This window comes from Homo sapiens, chromosome 1 (assembly GCF_000001405.40).
Source record: "Homo sapiens chromosome 1, GRCh38.p14 Primary Assembly".
Classification (NCBI taxonomy): domain Eukaryota; kingdom Metazoa; phylum Chordata; class Mammalia; order Primates; family Hominidae; genus Homo; species Homo sapiens.
The window spans coordinates 188,842,317-188,855,808 of record NC_000001.11 but is presented as its reverse complement, the minus strand read 5'-3'; the positions used below and the strand labels follow the sequence as shown (position 1 = coordinate 188,855,808).

The following is a 13,492-nucleotide window of genomic DNA, read 5'->3' as shown; positions in this document are numbered from 1 at the left end:
GGACATAAGCCACATCAATATTTACCCATGGTAAGTGGGGTGGATGCATGCAAGCTGTCACAAGATTCTGGGGTTACGGAAATTTTCTATCTTGATTGGCGTGGGGGGTTCATGGAGGTATATATGTGTGTGTGTGTTTGTGTGTGTATGTGTGCGTGTATTTGTCAATACTAAAAGAGGTATATATATCTATATATTTGTGCAGATATGTATCTGTATATATGTATATATACATATATCTATATTTGTATATATAGATATGCGTACACCTATATCATTTTTATGTTTTATATATATATACACACACACATACACACACACATATATATCCATGTATGTGTGCATGCATGTTTGTGTCACCAGCGAAGCCATCAAGGCACCCTCATATTACCTAATAATACCCACTTTCAAGGATTTAAGGCTGTTCACCTAGCAGAGTGAACAGGGTGAAGCAGTTCAGCCTAGCTTCCCCAATGTTAGCTAAGAAGTAACATGGAGACCACTTAACAAAGAAGCACTTTCTAGAAGGAGCTGCAAGACAGACTTGCTAAGAAACATACTTCACAGCGAAAGCATCAGATTTGTTGGAGATTTTCAGGAAAACTACATTCTCAACCTTAAGAGACATAAAAGGAATAAAATGTTAGACAAAAAGGAGCATATTTGTGATGAACATCAATCCATACTTTTTAAAAAAAAACATTATAATTAGACCTACATAGGTATTTATATGCTGTTGTCTATTTTTTATATGTGTGTGGTTTTAAGATATACTAACTTATTTTATGCTTGTTTACGTTCAAAAGAATTTGTTGAACTGAATGAACTGCTTTCCAACCAAAACACAAGGATGATTAAATGGAGACTTTCCACAATAAAGCGAGAGTAACTCAACATTCATATGCAAAACAAAATAAAAGAAAACCCAAAAGTCAACTTAAACATGAAACTTACACCTTTCACAACAACAAAAAATCTCAAAATATATCAGAGACTTAAAAAAAACAGGACACAAAATTTACCTACATAGCAAACCTGCACAATTACCCTTGAATGTAATAGAAAATTAAAAAAAAAAACAAAAATGGGTAAAAATATAAACCGACACTTCAGCAAGAAGATAAATAACAAATAAGTATATGAAATAATGTTCAACGTTATTTGTCATTAGAGAAATGCAACTCTAAAAAATGATGGTGTACTATTACACACCTATTAGAATGGCTAAAATCTAAACATCTGACAGTACCAATTGTTCAGAATATATGGAGAAACAAAAACCCTTATTAATTGTTATTGAGAATTCAAGCTGGTACAGTCACTTCAGAATACAAGTTAGAAGTCTTTTATTAAACAGTATTACCATATGATTCAAGAATCACACCCTAGGTATTTACTCAACTGACTTGAAAACTTATGTTCACGCAAAAACTTGCTTGAAAATCTTTATATCTGTTCTATTCATAATTGCCCCAAACTGGAACCAACCAAAATATCTTTTCATAGATGCATAGATTTAAAAAAAATACTATGGTTCATCCATACACAGAAATTGTCTGGGGTTCAGGGAAAAGTAGGGTTGAAAAGCTGAAGTACTACACAAATTTAAGACATTGACACTATTCTGTGTGATATTATAATGATGGATAAATAACAATCATCATTTGTCAGAATACATAGAACTTTATAGCACAAAGAGTGAAACTTAATGTAAGCAAATTTTGTAAAATCATCTAATATGTTGTGAGGTCTCAACATAGAAAATAGAATATGAGAAAATATTACACCTGTATTACAAATGTTGGGAACATTCTCACTGAAAGGAACAAGGGAAAAGTTATTGACCTAAGTAATTTTGGAAAAAAAGAGGAATCTGTAAGACTAAAGGCAAAATCTGTACATAAGCACTTGACTGTAGGTAGTGCAGTTGTTCCCACAGGGTTGTGGATTGAAAATCATGAATGCTATACCTGTATGAAATCAATCTTTTAAGTAAATGGATGGCAGGTGGTATGAGTTAGTTTTCCCACTGTTAGTGTAGGAGATCAGAGACAAGTAAGAAGGGAAAGGTAGAATAATTCATGTGGTACCTGATTAGAGTTATAAACATCAGTGTGAACTCATGTTTATCTTAATATAGACACAGATGTTTACATGGATAAGTATTTATAGACATCTGCATGGACATGGGTTAGTACACACATATACATTTCCTTGCTGTGTTAGCTGAGTGGGCCTAGAAGCAATGTCATCCAAGTGAGCACACTTAGCACCCAGATCTTGGTTTCCAATACCATTTCAATACAGGAGCCAAGAATTATTGGAGAAATGGTTGACATTATAACTGGAGAAGAAAACACACAAGATTAGCCTACAGCAACTTGTAAAGTCTGAAAGTAATGAAGTGCTTAGAAAACACTACAATGGTAGGGATAGGTCAATGGGAAATAGGAGCCAACTGAAAGAGCACCCAATGGCCAAAGCTAGAATAACTTGAACAATAAAATAAATAAAATTATTTTGGAACATAACCTAAAATTTAAAATTAACACCCATGTTGCAGGACAATATAAGGAATTAATACATTAGGTAATGAATGACAGAGAATAAAAACATGTCCTATTCACTGGAATTTAAATAATTTATGTAGATATTCTGGCATTAAGGTTATGTAGCATAAATCCTCACTCTGTAAGTGTGGGCTGCATAGAGTGACTTCTTTCCAAAGTTTGCCGAATGGAGAGTGGAAAAATTGTAACTCTAATGTAGAAAAAACCTGGCAAACATCACCTCATCCTAGGTGATCAAGATGAACATCAACATTGATAACTCAGGTTGATAATACATACACTTGATAAGATAGGATGAACATAGCACGTTATCACTACGATTTTCTTTTTCCAAAATGCATAATTCCAGTGTAATGAAAAAAAACATTAGACAAATTCCTATTTGAATAATGATGTGAAATATGGAGGAACATTTCACAGTTACTTGTCCAGTACTGCTCAAAATTATCAAGGTTATCAAAAACAAGGAAAGTCCGAAAAACTATCATAGTCAAAAGCAGCCTAAGGATACATGACAATTTAATGTGATGTGGCATTCTGGACAAGTTTCAGGAGGAAAAAAAATAGGGAAAAATTAATGGGAAATTTTAATAATGGTAACAGAATACACAAAATTATAACCAGTCATAAATGTATTTTTTTTAGTAAATCAGTAAAGAGAAAAAAATATAATCAAAGTATGGGAAAGAGATAGTAACAATCACTGTTTCCAGATATTTAAACAAAATATTTTTCTGGTGGTCTTATGTGAAAATTGTTTACTTTATTAAGCTATTTGCTTTCCATTGTTATTGGATCATCTATGACTGCTTTTGGAGGTTCTCTAATTAAAATACTTTATTAGTACTTTATTAATTATTTTATTTTATTAATTATCATGATTTGAGGATGGCTTATGTTAGTAGTTAAGTGTACACCCAAAGGGAAATGTTTTTTAACTTCATTGGGAGAGCACCATAAGGTAATTTACATTGAATATCAATATCAATCTGGCAGTGATTAAGGATACATCATAGTCACATAGAAGACAATTAGATAGTTGGAGAGTCAAAATATCCTGTACTTATTATTGATAGAAAAGACTATACTTCTTAAGTTCCTCACAACATTTAGATAGATAAAAATGTAAAGGATTGAATTCAGAATCAGTTCTTAGACTGAAGCTATGACTCCCTCAAAGATAAGAATGCACTGTCATGACAGCTAAGAAAAGTACTTTAACCCATGGGATTTCAAGGTTATTTGCTAGTTCAACTAATTTCTATGCTAATGTTTCATTTAATTTTTTATCTTATTCATATTATTTGCCATAATAAGTACAATGAGTCTCCTGAGTAAAAGGCAATGTTTTTTTGTATTGTTTACACATAACTGTTGTGGGAAAATGTACTTCTTCATCACTAAATAAGTAAATTGGTATAATCTAAGTATTGTCATAGTTTGCTAAGGCACAGGTATGCTGCTTTTTAAATAGGCAAAAGTTTCAACACAAAAAACATATATTCATTAATGTATTTTCTTACCTTATCGTGGGAAGCAGCAACATAAAATTCATCTAGAGGTGCTTGTATCTTCCCATAGGATACAGTTCTCGTGTATGTGCTACCCTTACAGCGTTTTCAGCATGTTGTTGGTTACAGATGAATCATGAGTTGCTATTTCAGAGTGGTTTTCCCAGCAGTGTTTGACTCTATTTAGAGAGTTGTCTCATTATGTCCACTTGAGGTTTCTGGTCCCAATACACAGCCACCTGGCTTTGCTAATTATTTTCCATTTGTTCTGACAAGCTGATTTTTCCTAGTATATTTTCAGGCTCAGGAGTCAGAGATTGTGCATCTACGGCAAAATCTACAAATGTCTCCATGGATTTGTCTTTGCAAAAAAACTTAAGTCAGAACACTTTATTTAGCATAACGATTTGCTAAAGCATTTTCTCTAACTTTTATAGTATATATATATATTTTTTACTGTGGGCTAGTGCCATTCATTTTTGTGTGTTCAATATTTTTGTTAGATGCATTGAGACAATAATTCAATCACATATTTCTTGTCCATTTTTTAACATGTTACGGAGAAGGTTAACTCACAATTTTGTTTCTAAAGCATTTCAAAATCAGGAAATACATAAAAGTGTCATGAATATTAGAGTACATTTTAGCCTTCCATGTTTAGTGATTTGTAATGCCCCAGGCAGACCATAAGTTTGGCCACTGAGTCAATTTGGAATTTGATAATAGCTTTGATTCTTCAAAGAAGTCTAGAGTAGTTCTTGCAAAAATAGGCTAAAACTGTAAAATTTTCCATTTTTTTTAATAAAACATATGAAAAATGACATTGTCAGTATTTACTTAACTACAGCGGTGTCTAAAGATCTATTCTTGGCATAGACATGAACAAAATTCAATAATATTATCATGAGTTTCTCACTCATAGATCAGCATAATAGTATTTCTTGAATCACAGTGTTACATTGGCAGATAGAATTATAAGAAACAAACAGTACTGTGATTAATTAATTGTCAGGAAGATGTTAGGGACTCTCCCTTAGCAATAAGGATTGGATTACACTTGGTGACATTAGATTTAATGGTAATCATAGTTCAACAAAGATGTGTTGATTAATTTAACGAAGACTGAAATTGTTCTGAAGCAAAGATAAGCTTGGCTACTGAATTAAGAGATGATGGGTTATAATAGACAGTGGATCTTGTTATATAACATATTGTTGAGATAAAATTATAGAACATGGCTTAACTTTTCGTGTAATGTGTATATATATATATGCTTGTATGTGTGTATTTGTATATTTATGTGTGTATCTTGATATGACATTGTTGAACAGGTATTTTTAGATTGTATGAAGGACTTGGTTTCTATATTTCATGGAGTTAGTTTCAATATCCTAGTCAAACACATAGAAGCATTACTATTTCAAAAAATTAGGGGGCTGGGCTCAGTGGCTCACGCCTGTAATCCCAGCACTTTGGGAAGCCGAGGCGGGCAGATCATCTGAGGTCAGGAGTTCAAGACCAGCCTGGCCAACATGGTGAAACCCCATCTCTGCTAAAAAAAAATACAAAAATTAGCTGGGCGTGGTGGTGCGTGCCTGTAATCCCAGCTACTAAGGAGGCTGAGGCAGGAGAATCACTTGAACCCAGGAGGTGGAGGTTGCAGTGATCGGAGATCATGCCACTGCACTCCAGCTTGGGCAACAAGAGTGAAATTCCATGTCAAAAAATATATATATATATATATATATATAGATGCTAATTGCACAACAAATATGTTACTATCAGAAATCCTTGTATGATTATTTTAGTAGTTTGTCTTAAGTAACTTTGAATTATTTGTGATGTACCCTTAGATAATATTCTTTCTTCACCTAAGTTTTTATTACTATTCAGACAGATTAGAAAATAAATGTATAGAATTGTGATAGAATGTCATCTCAAAGATGAGCACACCCTAATTTTTCTAACCTACAAATATATTATCTTACATAGCAAAAAAAAGAAAAAGATTTTGCAGATGTGATTAAGTTAAGGACCTTGGAATAGAGAGATTACCTGTATAATTTTACTAAGGACGGTCGAGCAGAATCATATGGGTTCCCATAACAGGGAGGCAAGCAGGTCACAGTCACAGAAAAGAGATGTGAGGACAGAAGCAGTGGTTGGAATAATGTGCTTTGAACAAGGAAGATGATCATGAGTCAAGGAATGCAGGTGGCTCCAGATGCTGAAAAAAGAAAGAAAATAAATTATCCCATGGAGCCTCCGGAATAAACCAGCCCGGCTGACACCTTAGCTGTAGACCAGCGAGACTTATTTTGACCTCCTGACTTCCCAAATTGTACATATTGCTTATTTTTAAATATAAAACTCTAAGTTTGTGGTAATTATTATAGCAGAAACTAATAATAGACAAGTACTACAAGAATCAGAGAGTTCTCTCATGTATTACTAGCATGACCCCACAAGGAAAGTACATATCCTTAAAATTCTGGTGTAAGGTTTATGATGAGGAATATTGAGTTTCAATGTATCTTTGCAGCATGTTTGCAATATATATGTACTGGGTGTTTCATTTGTTCCTTCTCAATTCTTAGAATAAAAGGATATATGTAAACATTTTGAGGGGGAGAAGGCATTATGTAAAGGGACATTATTGGGCTTTTAGTAGTAACATTTATTTTTCTAGGGCTCTTTGAAAATGTTCAGGCACATATAGGAGAGTTTCTAATTACATGATTTGCCTTCCAAAATATTTATTATTTTTTTCTGACTAGATCTCCTATTTCAAGTATGAATGCATTTTCAAAAAACAGTACAAATCTCCCTTTACCTTGTTAGTTTTTTCTACCACAGAATATTGTGTTAAAGTTTCCTGAAGCCTAATTTTAAAATCTCAAATTGATTTCACTGTATTTTGATTGCGACTTTGAATCTTAGCCTGTTTACTCTGAGATAAAAAACCTTTAAAATGCTCTTATGCCATGTATTTTTTACGTTTCTTGTGCTATCAAGATTATTAAAAATAAATAAATACAGTTGGTTTACATGAATCCTGTCTTACTGTTTTCTTCCTTGTTTCCTTTAAATACATTTTGCATCTGAAGTAATAATAATAAAGTCAAATAATTGGTATTAAACTTGCTCTAGGACAATAAGCCTCTATTAAATCCTGAATTTTGGTGTCAGATTTTAATCTTTGTGTGTGTATGTGTGTGTGTGTGTGTGTGTGTGTGTGTGTGCTTTAGGAAAATCTTTTGATTGTAAAATTCAGTTGCATTCTATACCCCAGGATTTAGATTTAACTTCTAAAGATATTCCTTCTGGATTAGTAATTCTAAGACGTTTGTGTGCCATGTGAGTTTCTTTTACATGAAAAAGATGTAAAAGCTTAAGACAAATTTATTTGGTTCATGTTTTAGGTTTTGTTTCTTAACAAAAGAAACAAACTTTTAAAGTAAATGAGTATATGGAGAAGTTAAAGTTGAAATATTTATATATATACACACTATATATATTCTAATATAAATATATATTTTATATAATATAAATATAATTTGTATAAATATATATTTTATATAATATAAATATATTTTGTATAAATATATATTTTATATAATATAAATATATTATATTTTGTATAAATATATATTTTATATAATATCAATATATTATATTTTGTATAATATCAATATATATTATATTTTGTATAATATCAATATATATTATATTTTGTATAATATCAATATATTATATTTTGTATAATATAAATGTATTATATTTTGTATATCAATATATTATATTTTGTATAATATCAATATATTATATTTTGTATAATATCAATATATTATATTTTGTATAATATCAATATATTATATTTTGTATAATATAAATATATTATATTTTATATGATATAAATATATATATTTATATAAGTATATTTATATGATATAAATATATATTATATAATATAAAATATATTTATATTATATAAATATATATATTATATTATATAATATATATTTATTTTATATAATATAAATATATATTTATATAATATAATATATATATTTATATAATATATGTTTAGAGACAGAGGGAGTGAGAGAGAGAAAGAGAGAGGAAATAGAGGAAGAGAAACAGAAAAATGCAGAGAAAAGGAAAAAGAGAGAAGATATTCCAGGAAGTTTAGTTTCAGAAGGCTTTAAGTAGAATCATATGTGACAGAAAATGTTTCAAGGATAAAATAATATTGGATTATTTTGGTAGAGGCAGAAGACAGAAATTCTAGGCAGACAGGGGCGGGTCCCTTGTGTTACCCCACCTTCATGCAGAAAAGCCTGAAACCCATGGCCCAAAGTGAAAATTTCTATCCCTGTTTGTCTACTCTCCCAATCATTTTTTTCTGAATAATGTCTTTTTACCAATAGAATGTTGCCTTTTCCAAAACTACCTACAACCACCCACTCAACCCATCCTGTGCCCCAGACTCAGTAGAAGAGAGAGAGGCGACTTGACTTTAGAGGGATGGCTGGACTTAGGAGGAGAGATGGCTTGACTTCGGAGAGATAGCTTGACTTCAAGGAAGAGCTGACTGGAGACCGCTGGACTTCAGGGGAAGATGACCTGTCCTTCCGGTCCCCTCTAGCTCCTCTCTCCACTGACAGCCATTTCCATTGCTAAGTAAAATTATCTGCCTCCACAATCCTTCAAGTGTCCATGTGACCTCATTTTTCTTGGATGCTAGGCAAGAGCTCTGGTATCCACTAAGGGTGGGTACCTAAAAAGAGGTTGTCACACTGGCCCTTTGTTCTAGCTGGCAGAGGGCAGCCACCCCATGTGACTAGGCATGCGGCCAACTGAGCTGATAACACACTTCTGACCATGGACAACAGAGCTAAGACAGCATTGTAACAGGGTCACAGACACCCCCACCTGGACACCACCATGGGGCCTGCATAGACCTTGCTCCTGCCAGTACCTAAAATAGTTGGCCAGATCCTGCGCTTATTCACTCAGGCCTAGTCTGGCCGCTGGGTGCAAATGGAGCTTGTTCCTGCTGGTGCCCAAAGGGGCTGACCATATCCCACACTCACACACTCACGTGCTCCCTCACACGAGGGGCTGAGCGCTGTGGGCTGAGTGAACAGGGCTCCCCCACTGCAAGTCCCATGAAGGGGTCAAGAAAAATCCTGCATGAATTTCATTTTTAATCACACGCATTCAAATCAAAAGAATTTGGTCATTGTTTGGTATTTTTGCCTTCGTGGTTTTCTAGAGTCGTTGTTAGTATTAATTAAGACATGTCATAAATTCAACATAATGATCGATATAATTTTAAGTCACTTTTAGTGAAATATTGTCATTTGCAAAGAAAAGTGTAAGATTAGGGTTATGTAGTAGTATATACATACGATGCAAGCTCATGCTACCTGGATTTTACGGCTTTCACTCAGAAAATTCATGGGAAACAAAAAAGTCACTATAGTCAGTCCAAACTGTGTGCCTATTAATTTTCAAAGAAAGAATATGAAATAGTGACAAGATTAGTTCAGTAACTATAGATCCCAGACTATGAACCTCATTTAATTTTTAGTTGCTTTTTTTTTCATCTTGTTTATTACTTTGAGAACAAACTCAAAATATGAGTGTGGTGTGCTACAGTGGAAATATAATAAACTTTGAAGTCAGGAAGACACAAATTCAAATCCCATCTAGGTTACCTATGAACTAGGTTCCTGATCGTCTGTGAGGAACATTAGTAAGCTAAGATGAGGCTACTAATAACCATGTCAAGATAACTGTACTTATTCAGCAAGTTAAAAAATATAAAATACCTACTACGACTGGTAATTAGCAAGTATTGTCTCATTAAATATTAAGACAATTAAATATTAGTTTCCTCATCATTGTGGAAGTCAACCTAAATGATAAAATAAAATAGAATAAAGAATACTTTATTAATAAACAAAGGAAAGTATTTACTAAAGTTAACCAGAGAAAGTGGCCTACTAAGAATATTAACTTTTCTTTTTTCTTTTGACTCATAAATCCAGTGCTTTGTTTTATACTACCCAAAAAATTTTCACGCCTTCTTAAAATATTCTGGATCCAAGTAGTTATTAGTGCATTTGTTTTGTTTTCAATCTGTCTCTTCTTTTAAAGCCATTTAATATCTGTGCCTTAAAGGCTTGACTGACAGACCGAAATCTCTCACCAATTTCTTCAAAAGGATTTAGGTTGTACTTAGGCAAATGAATTCCCAGTAGCCTGTCTCCGAATTCTTCTTGAGAACACAAAATAGAAACTTACATAAATTTGAAAGCATAGATAAGTAATAAAGCATTAAAATGAAATATACTAAACTGGAAAATGTAACACTTTTAAGAAAGTAATCAGAAATAAATCATTGCAAAGCACTTTTATTCAAATATTTTTATTTGAAAATAGCAATGAATTATAGAACACAAGTGCATCTTATATTAAGTTTATCATCAGGTAATTTTTGGAATAATTGAAAATGACTCTCTTTTATTCCGCACAGAAAACCATTTAGCTCAATTTTATAATCAGGAAGTGCTTTATTATAGTAGTTTTATTCTTTGTTCTCCATGATTTTATTTTTCAGCAAACCAACCAATTTAGAACGTTATTTGTAGTCATTAAATTTAAAGTTATTCCCAAGTTACTATAGAACTACTTAGTAAAGATAGCAATCTTACGAGCTGCTATCAGCCTCACTGCAATCCTGACGGTTTATGAAAGAAAAAGATGAGAAAGAAATACTGTATTTTCACAAGAAGCAGATAACTTTTTCTTATTAACTTTGGGCTATGTTTCTTTCTTTTTTTCATTCTTTTTATTTTTTTTCCATTAGACAGTTTCAGGAGTACCGGGGCCTAATCCATCTACCACTTTTAAGTCTTGAGTATTCATATCAAACATTTAAAACCATAATTTACCAACATTGTTAACATAGAAGTTTGCCAGTTTTCAAGAGATATTGACATTGTTTTGTAAAACTACAAACCTAGGTCTGAACAAAATGTTATATATATCATGCTAAAAATATTTATAAAAAAATTTAAAATATGCTTTTATTATGTTCTTAACACTGTACATTTACATTTGCATAGAGTGAATAGAATCATATTCTGCATACTTAAATAATATACATCTGAAAAGTTCACATCCATTGGTGATATTATACCAAATTATTCAAGTATTCTGTAACATGTGTTATATAATACTTTGTCTACAAATGAACAAAACACTTTTGGAAAATAAGTTTCACTAGTTTTAAAAAGTAATACTTGGAAACAATACTGATACTTCAAGAAGATCTGTACTAATTGCACACTACCTACCTATTAATCCAAGTCGTTAGTTTCACTTTAGGCAAATTGCTTAATTTCTCTAATTCTCCTTGTTTCCATCTGTAAAATAAGTAAAGTATGTACCTTAACTTAAGGTTTCTCTAGACACTGATTTAGAAGGACAATGCACAGCAGATAGCAAGATACATGGCACATGACAATCATTCAATAAATATAATAATATATTATTATTAATACTATTGCTATTTTTTCCAGTTTGGGTTTCCCAGGAAGCCAACTGAGGAGTTTATAGCTCAGGATAAATTTATTTAGGTGGGCTCTCAGGCTTAACATAACTGGAACTGAAGGGAAGGGATCAGGAATGGCTAGAGAAAGAAGCTGAGCTGTGATACAGGCCTACTGACAGCTTTGGCCATCCCCACTACGAGTTCTGGAGCCGAAAGGGCCCTTCAGGGTTGTCCCAAGTCAGGCCTTAATGTCCAGGCCTTTAATCTCCTGAGTGGATCAATTATTTGATGTGGACACCCTGCGGAGGGAAGTGGTGTTGGGAAGGCAGCTCTGTGCAGCTGACGCAATTTCTGAAGGAGCTGATAGCTGAAGGCTAACTTTTAACAGCCCTCTCTGTACTGAGGCAACAGATTCTTCTTTGAAGGAGAAATTAAGTGGCACATTACAGCATCTGCCACAGTTATTAATGTCCAATCATAATTCTTCAGTTAATTTTCAGTACCATCAATATTGTAAAATCAAATTATTACAATTCATCTTACTTTTCAAGTTTTTCAATATCTTTCATAGAAAATGATTACCAAATCAGTAAATCATAATGCTATTTTCAGAAAATTTAATATTAATTTTTATAATAGATATTTTCATCCTCTATTGGTATACCTGATGAACAATCTCTCTTATATTAAAAGTAATTTGCGAATGAGTCATCAGAAGAGTTTACTTTGGCCCTTGGGAAAAGAAGGTAACCTTGTTGAACATTGTTAAATATGCCAACTACCTTTGTAACAACTTACTGAATTTCCAGGACCAGATGGGAGTGAAAGTGAAGGTTGAATTTCCTCTAACGCTTTGCTGTTGTTTATATGCATGCTATGTAAGTAATACTTAAGTTCCATTCCACATTGAGTCTGCATGAGAAATCTACACTTAAAATGGCATTCATCCGGTGTTAAACAAGTTCTAGAAAATAATGAACCACTTTACATGCGGAATCTCTTATTTTAATTTCATAACAATTCTTCCCTTTTTGCAGAGGAGGAAACTGAGTTTTGGAGGTTAAATAACTCATGTAAGAGAAAAAATAATTTGAACTCAGGGAGTTATATTCCAAAGCTTATGCCCTTAAACAGACACCTCTTGACTATCTTAGCCTCTTGGATAAAAACAACAACAAACCACCACCCATCTGTCACTTTCCTGAGTCTAATAGATTTTATAAAATAATTGTATACCTGTGCGGGGGGGATGGTGGGGGAGGTTAATTACAGAAAGATACATTTAGAAGTTAATATCCAGGCTCTTAAATTGTCTTCTTATCATTTCAACACAGAGCATTCCCCTTGTCCTTCAATTTAAAAAGCTTCAAATTTATGCCATTTCTCTGGCTCTTCTCCCCTTGTCTGCTTGTATGGCTTTAACTCCACTTTTTTTCAACAGTGTTAAATCAAAACCACAAAACCTAAAACTCCACAAATTCTTTAAAATCTGACTTTCAGAGCAACTCAACCACCATACAATTTACAAATAGATTTTCTACATGGTGGCTCATGAACAGTGTTTTAGATGTCGGTAAAGGGGTGCTTCACATCTTCTCACACATTGAGCAAAATATGTAATGATTTTTAGGACTTTCTTAAATAACAAATTTATGATTACTTCAATTCCTCATGTCAACAAGTAATTAATGATTTGAAAATATTTTCTCGACCTTCCTGATACTTCAATATTATGGATTTGATCTGTGAAAAGTAAAACTAAGACCTGATACCCGTAAGCTCTAAGATTATACGATCCTAAAGTTTCATATTTAGTAGATAAAATGAAATTTCCAGATTTTATGCTA

General features: G+C 32.6%; 1 annotated feature.

The window, feature by feature from the left end:
* Positions 12,284-12,484: a silencer, noted in NCBI's record as "peak538 fragment used in MPRA reporter construct". NCBI's record gives its function as "represses an SCP1 promoter by STARR-seq MPRAs in K562 erythroleukemia cells {active_cell/tissue: K562}" and the evidence as "EXISTENCE:reporter gene assay evidence [ECO:0000049][PMID:32103011]".